The sequence below is a fragment of the Homo sapiens genome, chromosome 12 (assembly GCF_000001405.40).
Source record: "Homo sapiens chromosome 12, GRCh38.p14 Primary Assembly".
NCBI classification, from domain to species: domain Eukaryota; kingdom Metazoa; phylum Chordata; class Mammalia; order Primates; family Hominidae; genus Homo; species Homo sapiens.
Window position 1 is genome coordinate 76,258,469 of NC_000012.12, and position 18,628 is coordinate 76,277,096.

Here is an 18,628-nt window from a genome sequence, read left to right on the forward strand (position 1 = left end):
CTTCTTTTTTTTTTTCTTTTTTGAGATAGAGTTTCCCTCTTGTCACCCAGGCTGGAGTGCAGCGGCACGATTTCAGCTCACTGCAACCTCCGCCCCCCTGGGTTCAAGTGATTCTCCTGCCTCAGACTCCCAAGTAGCTGGGATTACAGGTTCCCACCACTATACCCAGCTAATTTTTGTATTTTTAGTAGAGATGGGGTTTCACTATGCTGGCCAGGCCGGTCTTGAACTCCTGATCCACCCGCCTCAGCCTCCCAAAGTTCTGGGATTACAGGTGTGAGCCACCGCACCTGGCCATCATTTGCTTCTCAATGGCAGAACAACAATATGTGAACAGCAAGAGAGAAAATGTAAGACTAATTGCTTCAGGAAAGATAACTTTGGTACTGCAATTTAGCCATGAGGGACAAGTCTTAGTGGACAGCTGGTTCTTCATCCATCGGAAGACTGTGGTCATCTGTTCATTCTACTCTTTCTTCTCTGTGGATGAAGTTTTCCGTCATTGTCTTCACACTACCTTGACTTTCTCTGGATTCTATTGACTTAGACAGATTACTGGCTCCTAGTGGACTACTGCATCTGAGCAAATGCTTACTCCCTATTTAATTGTACCTGTCTTTACCTATTTATTCAGAGGAGCCAGCTGCCCTGGACCCCATCCCAATCTCTGTCAAAGGTCACTCTACTTCCCAACCCAATGTATCCCACATTCCTAGAAGACAGAGGCTAGGGAGAGATTAGAAGAGAGAGGTTAGAATGCCAGGATTAAAAGGCAGCTTGTTTTCTTCTTTTTCACATGTCAAACTGTTAAATGCCATTAGGCCAACTCACTTCCCAGCATGTGACAAGGACACTGCTGGCAGGGAACATCTCCTTTCTCTGACCCTCTTTTGCTCTTCTTAATCCTCAAATATTGAAGTTTTTATCTTCAGCAAATGAAGAGGTAATTTAAACTGCTTACAGAGAGAAACCGAATGGGGGAAAGGGTATATGTTGTTAGTAACCCCCCACAGTTTAAGTGTTTTTAATTGTACATATAGGTTTTCTGTTAGAAAATGACTAGAATTTTCTAAGGCAGCACTGCCTAATAGAAATATAGTGTGAGCCACACAATATAATTTTTAAGTTTTTAGTAGTCATTAAAACAAGTAGAAAGATACCAGTGGAATTTTAATAACTGTATTTCTATACTGCTGCTCCTTCTATTGAATCTAACTTAAAATTCCATGTAACCCTCACATGTGGGTATGAAAAACATTAACAGGAAATGCTAATATAGGGAGTCAGTGAAGCTGGGGTAGGAAATTGATGATGTGATACCGGAAGTGATCTGGCAGGGCTTTAAAGTAATGCCAGAGGTCCTTCCAGGCAGTTCTCAACTTGCTCCTTGGCTGTTCTCCTGACACTTAAGTCAGAGCATTCTGTAGCTGTATTTTACAGAACTGTAATTGCACAGATTGTTCCTCTTACAAGAGAAATATCCAGAGCTCTAAGAAAACAACTGATGAAAACGGTATGTACCCATTTAAGAAAATCTGCCCTCGAGATATGATGTTATGATTTATTTGAATCTTACTGTGAATTAAAGCACTATCTCAGAAGGGTTTGCATTTAGATAATGACTGTGATTGTCATTTGGCTGGCTTGAAGAAATTCAAGAAATTTAAGCCATTTTTGAGCAGAGGAGGAATTAATATGGGGGGAAGAGTATCTTTCTGTTTCTCTGTTTGCTCTGATAGGGGCCACACAGGTCGTTGCATAAGGTAAACACTAACTGTGGGGCCCATGTGATTTGTTCAGCTTTAGAAAAATAATAAAGGGGCACAGTGAAGCAGAGGTGTGGTGCTGAGCACAGGTGATGGGGTAGAGGATGACAGAGAACAATATTTCAACAAATTGAATTTAAAGATCTCATTAGCTTTTATTAGCAATTATGAGTTGGTCAGCATCCCATTCATAAAATGGAAAGACATTCCTCCAGGGTTGGCAGAACAGTTGATTTCTGTAAGGTAGCTTAAGCAAGAAGGAAATGGTGTCATGCCAAAAGTGGGTTGGTTAACATCAGATGGCTTCAGTTAACTTTCCTTGTATGGGTTAAAGCAGAGGGCCTTTCATGTTATGTCAGCTCAGGTTGACTTGGTGGCTTTGGATTGGTTGCTGAGAATCTCCTAGATTTTTTTTTTTAACTGGCCCATTTCTAAATTCAGTTTAATTATGTGGAAGCTAGAATTTATTTCATTTTGATTTGGTCCCGGCTGATGGAGCCTAGTGCAGGAATCAGTCCAAAACAGTGGCCTCCCATATTTTTTTTTTTCCTTTTTTTTAGACTGAGTCTCACTCTGTTACCCAGGCTAGAGTGCAGTGGCATGATCTTGGCTCACTGCAATCTTCACCTCCCGGGTTCAAGCAATTCTCCTGCCTCAGCCTCCCAAGTAGCTGGGACTACAGGTTTATACCACCATGCCTGGCTAATTTTTGTATTTTTAGTAGAGATGGGGTTTCACCATGTTGGCCAGGATGGTCTTGAACTTCCCAGCCTCCAGAACTGTGAGCAACAACTTTCCATTGTTTATAAATTACCCAGTATATACTATTTTGTTATAACAGCCCAAATAGACTGAGTCATTCACTATTTTTTTTTTTTTTTGAGACGGAGTCTCGCTCTGCTGCCCAGGCTGGAGTGCAGTGGTGCAATCTTGGCTCACTGCAACTCTGCCTCCTGGGTTCAAGTGATCCTCCTGCCTCAGCCTCATGAGTAGTTGGGACTACAGGTGCCTGCCACCACGTCTGGCTAATTTTTGTATTTTTAGTAGAGATGGGGTTTCACCATGTTGGCCAGGCTGGTCTTGAACTCCTGACCTCAAATGAGCCACCCACCTCAGCCTCCCAAAGTGCTGGGATTACAGGCGTGAGCCAATGTGCTCATCCAGCTTCAATTTCCAACCCCTTTCCCTTGCATAGTGATAGGAGTGGTGGATGGGGCTGAAAGTTCTAACATTCTAATCAAAAAGTGCTGGGATTACAGGCACTTTTTGATTAGAAGTGCCCGGACCCATAAATAGTATTTAACAATGGTAACTATGGTAGGCAAACATCAAAGCACACTGTTGCATTTTTTGGAGATTCTCTAGGTAGGCATCCAACTCTGGGAAAACAGAGGAAGACCATCATCATCAGAAAATAAATGTTCTAAAAAACTGTCTCTGAAAAGTGTTGCTCTTTAGTCCCTTGCTCTCCATGCTGGAGTTAATGAGTGTGAAGTCCTTTGAGAGTTACCTGTGCAGTGGAAATGGAAGGAGGAAAGTGCTCATTTACCTTTAAGGGGACAAAAGTGGAGCTCCACAAACAGATGCAAAGCAGCTGGAAGAGGGGTAGGGAGGAGGACTTTTGTTTAGAGAGTTTCCTTTTTCCAGATCTACTTTAAGTCTTTAATCCATTTGGAGTTGATATTTGTATATGGTATGAGATAAGGATCTAATTTCATTCTTCTGCATGTGGATATGCAGTTTTTCCAGCACTATTTATTGAAGAGACTCTTCTTTCCCTATTGTGTATTCTTGGCACCATTGTTAAAGATCAGTTGACTGTAAATACATGGATTTACTTCTGGGATCTCTGTTTCACTGGTCTACATGTCTGTATTTGTGCCAATACCATGCTATTTGGATTACTATAGCTTTGTAGTGTATTTTGATATCAAATAGTATGATGCTTCCAGCTTTTTTTTTTTTTTCTCTCAATATTGCTTTGGCTACTCAGGGTCATTAAGGATCCCATATGAATTTTAGAATTATTTTTTCTATTTCTGTAAAAAACACTGGAGTTTTGATAGAGATTGCATTGAATCTGTAGATTGCTTTATGTAGATAGTATAAACATTTTAACAATTCTTCCAATCTGTAAACATAGGGTATCTTTCCATTATTGGTGTCTTCGATTTCTTTCATCAGTGTTTTATAATTTTAACTGTACAGATCTTTCATGTCAGTTAAATTTATTCCTAAGTGTTTATTTATATTTTTATTTTTATTTTTATTTTTTTGAGACAGGATCTTGCTCTGTTGCCCAGGCTGGAATGAAGTGGTGCAATCACAGCTCACTGCAGCCTCAATTTCTTGGGCTCAAGCAATCCTCCCACCTCAGCTCCCCAAGAAGCTGTATCTACAAGTGTACACCATCACACCTGGCCAAATTTTAAAATTTTTGTAGAGACAAGGTCTCACTATGTTGCCCAGGCTGGTCTCCTGGGCTCAAGCAATCCTCCTACCTCAGCCTCCCAAAGTGCTGAGATTACAGGTGTGACCCACTCCACCCAGTACTAAGTTTTTTTTTTTTTTTTTTTTTTTTTAATTAAAGCTATTGTAAACGGGATTGTTTTCTTGATTTCATTTTCAGATAGGCTGTTAGTGTATAGAAATGCAGCTAATTTCTTTATGTTGATTTTGTGTCCTGCAACTTTACTAAATTTATGTATTAGTTCTTATAGATTTTTGGTGGAGTCTTTAGGGTTTTCCATATATAAGATCATGTTATCTGCAGAGGCAATTTCACCTTAATGGAAAAGACCAAAGTAATTTTTACTCTTCCTAACCTTTCATAGTAATAAATGACATTTATCGAGAGCCCACCACACAGCAGGCACTGTTCTAAGCACTTCACAGGGATCATCACATCAAATCCCCACAATAACCCTTGCGGTTAGCACTGCCATTATTATCATTTTGGAGATGAGGATTGCCCACCACTCTACCAGCAAGTGGCAGATCTAGAGTAGATAGGAGTGCTGTATTTGGAAGAGCACGTTCCTGGGGTAAGAGTCACAGTCCTGCCTTGTTCCTGACTAGTAAATGAGACTCTGAGGACCTGGATGGCTTCACACAAAAGTACAGAGTAGGCTGAGGGCTGAAATGAAATCATGGTTGAGATATTCTAGACCCCTTTCATCAAGTTCTTAAAAGCCCGTACTCTCCTTAGAATAAAAGGAGTTTAAAGGGAGAAACAAGCAATAGAACTATTTTCTTCCATTTTTCTAAAATTTTATTATTTTCTAGATCAATAGTCTTATACTCTCAACTCTTTTAAGGAAAGAGGTTATAGGATATTTTGTATAGGTCAACAATCTCTTGTCAGAAATGGTTTTGGCTGGATAATTCATAATTTAGAATTTTAGAGATTTTTAGAAAGGTTATACATTCATATATTATATTTTACATAATACCAGCAGTGGAGTCTGCGGATGATATGGACTGAATTGTATCCCCTCAAAATTCATATGTTGAAGCCCTCAACTCCTGTAATGGTTAATTTTATGGGTCAAACTGACTAGGCTACGGGGTGCCCAGATTAAACATTACTTCTGGGTGTGTCTGTGAGAGTGTTTTCAGATGAGATTAGCATTTGAATTGGTGGACTCAGGAAAGTAGATTGCCCTTGTCAATATGGGGAGGCCTCATTCAACCCGTTGAAAGCTTGATAGAACAAAAGCAGAGGAAGGGATTTGTCCCCTTCCTGCCTGCATGCTGGAGCGGGAACGTCGGTCTTCTCCTGCCTTTGGACTGGGATTCACAGGATCATAAGAAATGATACGGATTAAAAATTATTTTTTTTATAAAATTAAATAAAAACCAAACTTTCTCCTGTCATTCGTTTTATTAACATGGATTTTTGTCTAAACAATTTCTGTTTGAGTAAATGTCAACAATCTTTCCATCATCATTGAAAGCATATTACTCCAGGCTAGCTATAAACTACCTCACATTAAGTAACATCACCAGATCATCTGTGGTGTTTTTTTCACCTATATTTATAATATCATCATCATTATCTTCTGTAATCCTCACACTTACTATATTTGCAACATTTCAGCAATCTCCCCATCACTGAAAATATACAACTGCATCACTACCAATGATCAGTATTTCTTTACTATCAGCTTCTTCTAACAACTTCAGCCAATAAAAACTTAGTGTAATAATAAAGATAGACATAATTGTTTTTTCATCAATGGCCCCACATATTTCTAAGTTTGTGTTGGTGGTTTTATTTTCCAACATTGGAGTAGCAAAATTCTGTTCCTAGCATTTGTTGATGTTGACTTAATAATATCATTCTGAGCATTGGCAGCTCTGTAAATGGTATCCTTGAGTATAACCTCTTTAAGGAAGTCTTAGATTCCTGGCTTCTGTTCACTGAAGCAAACATACAGTTTGGAAAGAAGTGCTCAGACTTGCTTTTCAGTCTCTAAAGCTCTTTGGCTCCAAGGCTACACTCCTGATGTCATGTTGCAAGGAAAAGAAAAACTGAAAACATTATGCAAGAAGTTCAAGAGGAGGGTTTGTAAAGCCATGGTCCAGAAGTAATAGAACTTTACATTTTTCTTCTACATCAGCTTGCTGGTAATAAGCCCATATTGCTGGTACAAAGTGGCCATTGAATCATCATAAAGTAGTTCTCTAATTACTCATACTTTCTTGTTTGCACAGGTAATTTGCATATACCTTTCAAATTTCTTGGATGTAGGCTTTCCTCAGGTACTGTCAATTTTATCTTGTTTTAAAAACACAGTGCTGGCCAGGCACAGTGGCTCATGCCTGTAATCCCAGCACTTTGGGAGGCCAAGGTGGGTGGATCCCAAGGTCAGGAGTTCAAGACCAGCCTGACCAACATGGTGAAACCCCATCTCAACTAAAAATACAAAAATTAGCTGGGTGTGGTGGCACGTGCCTGTAGTCCCAGCTGCTTGGGAGGCTGAGGCAGGAGAATCACTTGAACCTGGGAGGCAGGGGTTGCAGTGAGCGGAGATCATGCCACTGCACTCCAGCCTGGGTGACAGAGTGAGACTCTGTCTCAAAAAAAACAAAACACAGTGCTGCATGCCAAGCACAGTCCATCTGAGTTTAGTGTTATTAAAACCTATAGAAGCTTTCTCATGAGTCAGTACCATGGGAAAACAGTACCAATATAGAGCTTTAATATCAAATTTAATATCAAAATTATAAATAGGTTCAGGACTAAGGTTTACATCAGACAGTATTTTAACAAGTTTATCAAGATTTTGGCTGTTTCTAAGATATGTTAGTTCTGAATAAAAAAGAACTATTATTTGAATTATCAAATAATTAATAAATTATTATTAAATAATTAATATTTGAATTATTAAAATTAATCAAATTATTATTTATTAATAAATTTAATTCAATAAATTTAAGTTAGTATTTAATAATTTATTACATAAATACTAAATTTATTTAATACATTTGATAAATTTATTTATTTAAATAATTAAAATTATTTAATTTTAATAATTTAATAATTTTAAAAATATCTTTAATTTGTTTCAACATCATCAGGAGTGATTTTATTACATATTTGTAAGGCATTTTACACCATGATGCTCTTAAATTCTGTGTCTTTTTTTCTATTTTACTCTATTAGCATTAAAGCTCTTAAATTCCGTAGGCAGCTGTGATGGTTAAATTTTTGTGTGTCAGATTGGCTAGACCATGACCATGACCACGATCATTGGCATGACCATTTGTTTGGACAAATACCAGTCTAGACGTTGATGTGAAGTATTTTGTAGATGCAGTTAAGATATACCACCAGTTGACTTTAAGTAAAGGAGATTACCCTTGATATTGTTGGTGGACCTCATACAATTAGTTGAGGGCCTTAATAGCAAAAACAGATTGTTTTGGGGAAGAATTTCTACCTTAAGACTGTAACATAGAAACCCTGCCTGAATTTCCAACCTATGGAATTGCCCTACAGATTTCAGATTTACCAGCCCCCCACCACCACAGCCTTCTAAATATTCACATTATTTTCAGTGTTCAATTTTTGCAGTGTATAGTAGCTTGCTTCATAACAAACTAGTAGTATATGTTCGCTTCATTGTCAAATCCACTTAATTAACATATCATCATGATTTGCATTCTTTGCCCTTTAAAGTGTTTTCCTATTTTTCATTAGTTCTTAGTCATTGTTGCACAGGAAATCTTCTACAACTTGCCGTTCTGTTTTTTAAGTCATATATTGTTTTGATTCTGATACTGTATTTTTCAAGACAGATAGCAGGATCTATCTTCTGTAATAACTTTACTTATAATATTATTGATTTCAACAGGCACTTCCTTTTCTTCCTTTCCCTCTCTTCATTGTTACCTATAAGGGCAGCTTTAACTCTTCTCAAAGAGTGAAATTAACCCCAAATTTCAAAATAACAAAAATGTACACAGTAGACATGATAGTGCTGGGTAGGGGCTCTGAGACATAACCAATGGTCAAAAAGGTTTTTGCCACTATGTGAGGTTTTTTCCCACACTGGCAAAAGAGCTTCTGTTTTTCAGAGCCTTTTAAATTTTATAATTGTGGAGAAAGGATTATGAATCTGTACCTGTCTCCTGCTAAAATGTCACACATTTTGAAATGTACTTGTCCTTGTTTGACTAAGCATTAAGACAAAGTGTTCTCTGCAACGAGAGCTCTTCTTGCCACCCACTTGTGTTACACATAGTACATTAATGAGGTGACTGTGATCTCATCCTCCTGGCTTGCCTTCCTTGGCTCAGATTCCAGAGAAGCAGCCGTCAGGTCCTCCAGATCCTTTGGGCTGAGCTGACTGATGACCTTACCATGGGACTCACAGCTCCTTGCTGCTCCAACATTTTAAGTTCTGGATAAGCTAGTACCCAAAAGGAGTCCTTTTTACTACCAATACCAAATCCTCCAAGAGCTTCCCTCACTCTCTTAGGGCCTCTACTGCCCAAATGCTGGTCCCCAGTGAATATGCCTTCTCAGTCCCCAACTCTATGCCATCTGGTAGGAATATAGGGAGCTGGAGGGATTTATGGCTAAGGGATCCTGCACACTTGAATTCCATCTGTCCTGCAGTAAACGATATACACAGAAAAGGATGGTGGGCAAAGAGGCACGTTCTATTTAGCTGGGCTCTGGCTCAAGCCCCAGTGTAGAGTCTTGTGAACTGGAGTAGACCACATGCAACTTGGTGAACGTATTTTGCCTAGACGAGGCTGAGCTCTTAGGCTTTTGTCTCAGGCTCTGGCCCTGCAAAAGAAAAGGCATCCTGAAGCCTACAGCATGGCCACACCCTTCCCCGTTGGGAGTGAAATGAGAGGAAGTGGAGGGAGCACGAGGAGCTGCTAAAATCTAGTCAACTGCATCTCTGTTTTTTATCTTTGACCCATTGTTCAATAGGCTTAACATCCAGGCCCATCTTCTCTGATCTCTTAGGATAAAAAGTGCCCAAAGAGTCAGTGTCAGCAGAACATTTTTGCACGAACTGACTGGTTTAATGTTTTCCACTAAGACTGTAAACCCCAAGAAGGGTTCAGTGACCCTTCTTGCCCTTGATGGTGTTCTTGAGGGAAGAGCAAAGGTAGCAGGAATGTGGAACTCTGAGCTGCTTATGGCCAACCTAGGGGATGCTTTATGAAGTGATGGTTGAATAAATTAAAATGGAACAAGACTTCCTATAATCACAATCATCGTCTATCTCAGAATGTAGCACAAAAGATACCACTGAAGTTATTTGCTTCCTTGCTACCTTGGAGGAGAAACAAAAATCTCTCTAGCTTTGAGCTATGGCTAACTGAGGCAGTAAGAGGTGTAAATGCTGTCTTTGGAAACCTGGGATCCAAATAAATCCCAACTTCCTTTTCACTTGTGTTCCCTTCTCTACTTTGGGAAGCAAATCAGAGACATTGAAGATGGTGGCACTGCCAAATATATCAGACCTCAACATGTACTCTGTAGTAAAGTCTACCCTTCAACAAAAAAGAGCACTACCACAAGATATTTATTCTTATCTTACTCTCTGAATTAAAATCCTGACCTGAGGCACTTCTCTGTCTGCATTATTTTCAGAAGAGTCTAGATCTGAAATCTAATTATATTGCATATTAAAACACCAATATTGATGTTATTCCATCAAGCCCTGTCATACTTTGCAGGCTACATCCTTTTGGCCCCGATTTGTCTTCATTCATGTTACTTGAATCATCTTGATGAAATGCTCTGAATCTGTCTGGGAGAAAGTTTATTTTGATATCTGATCTGATCCAGACCTATTCTCAAGTCCCTTTGAAAACTCACTGGTAATATGCAGTCATTTGCTAATTGAAATTTGACCAATAATTAGCCAAGGATATTCTTTTGTTCAATTATCTTATGATAGCTGGCCAGATGCAATGGCTCACGCCTGTAATCCCAGCACTCTGGGAGGCCAAGGCAGGCGGATCACGTGAGCCCAGAAGTTCAAGACCAGCCTAGGCAACACGGCAAGACCCTGTCTCAAAACCCCCCAAAAAACAAAAACTTGTGATAGTAGTCTGAAAAGCCACCTCTATGTTATTAATACAAAATCTATTTTTGGTATTGGTGTAAGTAAAGGTTTAATACCTTCCGTGAATTACAAGTTCAAGCAAGAGATGCTTTAATTTCAGCTCTTTACCTGGATGCCAAGAAATTGCCAGAATTTTCTCAAGTCTAATTTGATATTATTAATCCCATTTTACAGATGAAGAAACTAAGGCACAAATAGGCACAACACAAGGCTCAAATTTATGTAAATATTAAAGCTAGTATTTGAACTTATAGAACTCACTGGTGGAAACTATGTTCTTAACCACTGTGCAAAACTGCTTCTCACTAAAACCCTACCTTGCCAAGGGCCCTGAGGCCTTCCACAATCTGACCCCTCACATTTCTCTGGTCTCATTTTCTTCTAAGCTCACTCTTTTCCAGTTGAACTGGACTCCTTGCAGTTACTTGAATATTTCCAATACACCCCCACTCCAGGCCTCTGAAACTACTGTCCTCTCCTTATCACCAGATATCCTCACGACATCTTCCTCACCTCTTCTGATGTCTAATCAAATGTCACCCCCACAAAGTGGGCTTCCCTGACCTCTCCATCCATAAACGAATCCTTTTTTCCCCTGCTTCCTCACCCGCTACTCTTTTAACCTGCATTATTTACCTTCATAGCACTTATTAAATATTACGTACTTACTGATTTATTTGTTTATTGTATAGACCAGACAATGAACCCATAGTGAAATTTGGTTTGGGTGGAGAAGTTGACTGTTGTTTTCACTGCTGTGTTACCAGCTCCTAGAACAGACCTAGCACATAGTAAGCACTCAATAAGTATTTCCTTGATGAAAGAGGGGAGGAAGAAAGGAAGGGAAGAATAGAGTGAGAGTAAGGAGAATTAATTAATTAATGAAGATTATAATATTGGTTGGGTAATCAGTAAGTATTTCCAACCCCAATCACATTAGCATGCAACTTTCATGATTTTCTTACCTGTACCTTGAAAGATTTCCTATGTCATTTCCTGAAGTGGCTATGGATTCTAGCTCTTCCAAAGTGCCTGGGGATGGGGACAATATGGATTAGTTATTTGTTGCTACACTCACAAACTTTAGTATTTATTAAGCACTTAACAGGGCCCATGCACTGGGCTAAGCACTTTTCCCGGCTTATCTCACTTTACTGCCACCTTAGGGCTTTTGAATTTTAATAGGAAAGAAGTAAGGACAGTGTCTACATATGTAAGCCCTGGGATCAGCCTGCCCAAACTTAAATCCTGGATGCACCATTGGGTAACTGTATGGCTCCTCTCTGTTTATCATCTATAAAGAAGATATATTAACTATTCATATGTAACAGAGTGGTTCCGAGATTTAAATGAGATTGTGCAGGATTGGCATAGAGTCTGGCACATGGCAAACAGTAAAACATCTCAGCTACCATTATGACCACTTTCCAGAGCAGAAACCAAGGCTGAAAGCCAGTATATGCCTTGTCCTAGGTCACAAAAAACTGAAAAATAGAACTGGGATTTAAACCTGCTGTTGTTTAATACCAAAGTTTTTTTTGTTTTGTTTTTTGACTAGACTGCTTTTCTGTCTTTTTTAGTCTAGCTCTTTGTTCAAAAGGCCTCCAGGGAAGTTAGTACAGTGTAGAAAATTATATCTCTCACCCAGGCAAACACATGAGTAATGTGAAGCAAACACAGCTCACTGGTGCAGCCTCAACCTCCCGGGCTCAAGTGATCTTTGCGCCTCAGCCTCCCGAGTAGCTAGGACTACAGATGTACCACCATGCCCGACTAATTTTTTATTTTTGTAGAGACAGGGTCTCTCCACGTTGCCTAGGCTGGTCTTGAACTCCTAGCCTCAAGCAATCCACCTGCCTCAGTCTCCCAAAGTGCTGAGGTTACAGGCATGAGCCACCATGTCTGGCCAACTTTCTTGACTAGTATTCTCTTTTAAGATATTAGAGGCAAGTGTTAAGAGGTTACACAAGGGATTGTTATAGATTTGTAAAACGAGGCTGGATGATGGTAACTTTGAGATCTGTAAATATTTACACAGCTGTCTCAAAAAAAATCACTTTTTCTCACATGATGAATTGATTATCTAAATGTGAAAGGGAAAATAATTCTAGAAGAAAATTTAGGAGAACAACTTTATGATTTGGAGCTAGGCAAAGATTTCTTAGGACACAAAGAACATAAGCCATAAATAAAATAAGTTGGACTTTATAAAATTAAGAGCTTGTTTTCACCAAAAGATATCATTAAGAGAATGAAAAGGGAAGCCACAGAATAGGAAAAGATATCTGTGGCCAGCAGCGGTGACTCATGCCTGTATTCCCAGCACTTTGGGAGGCTGAGGTGGGCAAATCACTTGAGGCCAGGAGTTCAAGACTAGCCTTGTCAACATGATGAAATCCTATCTCTACTAAAAAAAAAAAAAAAAAAAAAAAATTGGCCATGCATGGGTGGTACATGCCTGTGATCCCAGCTACACAGGAGGCTGAGGCATGAGAATTGCTTGAACCCAGGTGGCAGAGGCTGCAATGAGCCAAGATCATGCCACTGCACTCTAGCCTAGGCAACAGAGCAAGATCCTGTCTTAAAAAAAAAAAAAAAAAAAAAAAGGAAAAGATATTTGCAACACTCACAACCAACAAAGATGTCTTAGCCACAATCTCTAAAGAAAGCTACAAGTCAATAAGAAAAAGCCAGGTGACTCAATAGAAAAGTAGACAAAAGACAGACATATACTTCACAAAAGAGCTCATTAAGATGACCAATAAACACAATGGTTATTTGTTTTTATTTCCATCAAGCATGTAGAATTCTCAACTAACATCCAAGTTTCAAAAAATCCAGAAAAGTCAATACTGTGCTGATGCTGTCAGATAATCAACTGTAGACGAGACAGTATTCGTGCCTGCAAGGATCAGCCTATTGAAAGATAATGCAATAAAGTGCAAGGCATTAGCGTAAAGACAAGGTTTAAAGCACATGGTAGTAACATAGCTTAATTCAGAATAAAGGAACAAGGAGTCCGCAGAGGAGGTGACAAATGAGCTGTGCCCTGATGGATGGGCATGAGTGGGCTGACAATGTGTACCTCCCGACATGAGGGGCCTTGCAGGTGGTGGAAGTGGAAGGAGGACAATAGGAGCAAGTCTGACGATCCTCCCAAAGTGGCACCTTCTCAATGATTGGTAAGATGTGGGGCTAGAAACATCAGGGGGTCACTCTGACAGCACTCAAGGAGAAAAGAGATGGAAAGATATTTCCCCTGTCATGAACTTACTCCATCCCCCAGTGGGAACAGACCCCACCCCTGTTCTGACTCTTGCTCTCCCGTCTCTTCTCCCTCCCCTCAGTTTCCAGCTGAAATAGAGACCCCTCTCAATTGTTGTGCATTTTCTTCAGGGGTCGGGGTTGAGCTGCTATTATTAAAACTTGTATGAGTTTCCTTCTTACTTCTTCAGCGAATTCACCTCTGTAGGTCATCAGCCTTTAGCCCCTGGGAACCTCAGGACAGGTAGAATATGCACAATTTCAGCTAATTTATCCTGCCAGTGAGACACAACTGCAGCTTCATTAAAAGATCTGTGTCAGGCTTCACAGAAATAATGAAAATACTGTCAACCAGTTGGCAAGAATTTCAAAGCAGCCCTTTTATGTCTGGCGGCGAGGGCACCCGAGGTTGGCCTCCTTTGCTGTCAGCCTTTCAGTTCAAGACAAAGAGCATGACTGTTCTTCTCTAGAAATCAGCAAAACTCTCCTGGAGCCATTTAGTAACAGGATTTCTTTAAAAAACATTATGTGATTTTCCAGTAGAAATAAATATTTTCCTAGCAAGTCTTAAATGGAATTGCAGGGATACTCAACACAGAACCAAGCACAGGTATGAGACACTCACTAATGTGTCTTGTTCCAGTTCATCTTGGACTGTAAGGATTTGGGTGGGCCAATTTTTTTTCTATTATTATTTCCTTTCTTTCTTTTTCTTTCTTTATAACTTATTTTCTGAATCATTATAAATTGTAAATAACAGAAACTTCCTTTTCTAAAATTTCATTATGGTCTTACAGAGAGTAGTGGGTAACAGGGGAGAACTACAAATAATTAATAAAAATTTGTATTGGATTTTTGAGGAAAAAAACTGAAAAAGTTCAAGAAAGTGGTCTAAGTTCTTCAACAAACAACAAACTTTATTTTTTTTAGACGGAGTCTCACTCTATCACCCAGGATGGAGTGCAGTGGCCCACAACCACACCGGCTAATTTTTGTACTTTTAGTAGAATTGAGGGGTTTCACCATGTTGGCCAGGCTGGTCTCAAACTCCTGGCCTCAAGTGATCTGCCTGCCTCAGCCTCCCAAAATGCTGGGATTACAGGCATGAGCCACTGCACCTGGCCAACAAACTTTCAAAGCAGGTTACACTATACCATATGGGAAATATTAGTGGATATCTGCAATATTAATATTTGCATGAATGATAATTTAGCCTTCATTTTTGCCTCTAGCCTGTGTGCACATTCTTTAGATGCATAGCTTCAGGCTGTGTTCTATGGGTCCCTAAGGTTTTCCTGGGATTTCATGGAGACAGAGGTGTGCTGTGGTACTGAACTCAGGCCATCAGCTAGGCTCTGAACTCTTATCTTCCACTTCAACCACAACACCTGTGCTAGTATCTGCTTTAATATTGGTGTTTACAGTAAGATATATTTTTAAAATATATTTAAGTCAGAGAGAGAGAGAGGTTGGACATCTTTATTATGGATTATTTCCCTAAACATCTTCACAGAGTCTCTCAAATGAACCTGCGGCTTTTGAACTCACTGCTCCTTCAAACTGCTAGTACCACTCTTAGACTGGGGCAAGTAGGGCGCCTATCTAAGGCCTGAAGCAAAGGGAGCCTTGTGTTTCAGAGTGCTTTCCTCAACATTTTCTTTCTTTCTTTTTTTTTTGTTTTTTTTTGAGATAAGGTCTTACTCTGTCACCCAGGCTGGAGTGGAGTGGTACAATTATAGCCCACTGCAGCCACACCTCCTGGGCTCAAGTGATCCTTCTGCCCCAGCCTCTCAGGTAGCTGGGACTACAGCACGTGCCATCATGCCCCGCTAATTTTTGATTTCTTGTAGAGACAAGGTCTCACTAGGTTGCCTGGGCTGGTCTCAAACTCCTGAGCTCAAGTGACCCCCCTGCCTCAACCTCCCAAAGTGCTGGGATTACAGGCATGAGCCCCTACATTTGGCCCACTCCTCGACATTTTCTAAGTTCTCTCCAGTGTCTGGGACTGGCTGGTCTTTCAGTAGCATCCAGACAGGCCACTCCAGCCCACATGGTTCCTGGTCCTTTTTTCGCTTCTTCAGAGCGTTCCCTGAAACTCTACCTGACATATGTGGTCAACCAGTTGCCCCAAGGAACTCTGAACCATGCTTCTGTGGGGTTGTTCTGGGGTCCTGTGGCTGGGCCCCTGTTCCAGGAGGGAAGCAGATTGCTCCTACTGGCCTGTGTGACATACATGGGCCTGTGCATTGGCACTTGTTACCTTGCAATCCTATCTCTGGTCTCTAGCACCCAAGGGTAAGGAGAGTGTTAACAGAATCTTTTACTACCAGTCCCACCACACCTTTTACAGGCTAGGATAACACATGTCAGGAAGTCCTCTGGGGTGACCCCAGGTCTGTTTCTTCTGAGAGCTTCTGAGGCTGTTGCTGCACAGTGTTGCCTCTGATTGATGGATATGGTGATGCTGTGCTCTCCCAGGTTGGTCTTAAGGTCTGACAGATGATAGATATTCCTTGGATGAATGGGATTGTACTTTTCCTGCCAAGCCTAGAGGTTCCTTTCCTCTCTTCCCTACAGAAAGCAGTGTGGGAGGCAGAAGTGTGTCCAAAATTAAAAGAGATGACATTCTAGGAATGCAATGATTATGGCCTCAAGAGTTCAAAAGAAAACATGATTGGAATATGTGTTAATTTACATTTGTGGTATAAAAGTCTGAACAATAAATTTAACGTGAGCAGAAAATCAGATTATTGCTCACATTTTCCTGCACGCCCTGGGTAACAGGCGCATTTGTGGTCATCATCAAGGAAGCACCATAACAACCTCTGAGAGAGTCACTGGAAATCAGCATTCACAGTCAACATGATGGATGATGTCATGTCATGAGTAAGAATGTAACCAGCACAAAATAACTGGTACTAGGAAACTGGAAGAGGAAAAAGATCTACATTGTTTCTATACAAATAGCTTGCAAAGAACCATGCCATTGTGAGTAATAACTACAGTGCTACTTTTTTCTTTCAGTGGGAGATATAAATTAGCCAGGAACAGCATATTTAACAATAAAGAGTATGAGGAGATAGTTCCGAGACCTGAACAGGAGCTGATGGGGCCTGGACATTACGAAGAATTTTTCAATGCACTGATTGGATAGAAAATGGCTATGTGTACCCTCTACCCATTTTCTAAATCTTTATCAGTTAATCACCTTTCATAGGTTCATAAATTTTATAATACATTTCAAATCAAATTGATTATACAGACATGCCTCCCCCACCAGACTCCAAATTTGCCCATAGACTCACACACCCTAGGGGTGTGGGGCATGCTGAGCTAAGACCTTCACCATGTCTTGCTTAATGTTTGGTCCTAACTGGTCTACCTCCTTCTTAATCTCTTCACTTTCTAGTGTATTTCCCAAACTGCCAGAGTGTTCTTTCTAAAATGCAAATCTGATCAAGTTTTCCCTGTTTATAACCCTTCAATGTCTAGGAAACCAAACTGAAATTCCTTAGGTTGGAATGTAATTTTCTTCATGACCTGGCCCCTCCTTGTCTGTTTTGCCTGACCTTACACAATACCCCAGTAGTTACTCTATGTTCTAACCCTAACAGGATTAGAACTACAACAGGAAGTTTTCCACATCCTCAGTGTTCTTAAACATTCTTCCCTCTCTTAGATTCCCTTAACATTACTAGTCTTCCTAAATGATTCCTATGTGTCGGGGAATACTCAGGTTCCCAGCACCACCTCCCTGAATGCCTTCTTCCAGCCCACAAAAGGAAAGCAGAAGTCAGTATTGCCAGAGAGAGGGGAGGGAGGAAGGGAAGGTGGAGTTGAGGTCAGAGGGTGTGGGGTGCAGTTCACAGAATCCCTGAAAGGATTATATTCTGCGTGAGGTAGTAACACATTTGGTGTCTGCAATGAATTGAGCCTCCCCAAATCCACATGGTTACGTAGTCTTTTCCTAACTCCCGATCGAGGCTGGTTCTATGATCCACTTAACCAACAGAACAACACAGAATTGGCGGAGATGTGCCTGTCTGGGGCCTAAGTCATCAGAAGCCATGACAGTTTCTGCTTTTGTGCTTTGGAGATCCCTGGGTGCCGTGTAAGATGTTCAGCTACCCTGCTAGGGAGACCCTGTGAGGAGGCCATATGGAAGAGGAGAGGCCATGAGACTACATAGTGAGAGCAAGAGACTCAGTCATCAGCAGCCCAGCTGAGCACAGCTTCCAGCTCTCTTTGCCAAGGGCCAGATATAGGAATGAAGCATCTTGGATGTTCCAGACCCATCCACAGCTGCATAAGAGTCCTGTGAGACATCCATCTGAGCCCAGTCAACCCATGGAATCATGAAAAATAATAAAGTTTGTATCAAGCTACTAAGCTAACTGATGATAACAGAACCAGGACTCAACAGGTGAGACAGGGTCTTGGCATCAAGCATCTACAAGAAAATATTAGGTGGAGGATATGCAGGAACTACTATTTGCAAACTCCAGTCTGGCATCATAAAGCAGGACTCAGAAACTGGATGGACAGGCAGAGTGCACCACTACCAGGCATCCGGCATGGCATTACACACGCTTCTCTGTTGACCTAGCCAAACTCTCCCACTCCCTGATCCATTCTCACCCTTGACTGAGAGAGATGAGAAGACAGCTGAAAGATGAACACGTTCAGTGTGACATCTACCCATAGCTGGGACAGGCAGTAAGGCAAGGTGACCATCCAGCTGGCAAGAAGGCTGAGGACAGGAAGCCAATATCTGATTAGATGTTACAGCAGAAATGGCCGAAACTGATTACCAGTTAGTCCTTTGCTCTTTTGGTCAAGGGCACAGATTCCATCCCAGTTAATTTGGCTTTAGTCCATGGCCACAGACTGAACCTTTAACCCAGCCAGCTGTCCTAATTGGATGTCCTCCCTTGGATGTCTGGGAAAGATAGGACAAGACACAATGTCTTTTGTCTGGGAAAGGCTGTGTGTGAGTGGGTT

At 40.7% G+C, this 18,628-nt stretch overlaps 1 long non-coding RNA gene across 1 annotated transcript in view; it reads left to right on the top strand.

Moving 5' to 3' along the window:
• The first annotated feature begins 1,414 nt into the window (after positions 1 to 1,414).
• LNCOG (lncRNA osteogenesis associated) overlaps positions 1,415 to 18,628 on the top strand; it is a 46,087-nt gene continuing 28,873 nt past the window's right edge. Inside the window, exon 1 of the long non-coding RNA NR_146531.1 lies at positions 1,415 to 1,513. This is a non-coding gene — a long non-coding RNA (lncRNA osteogenesis associated). The remainder of the gene's footprint in view (positions 1,514 to 18,628) is intronic.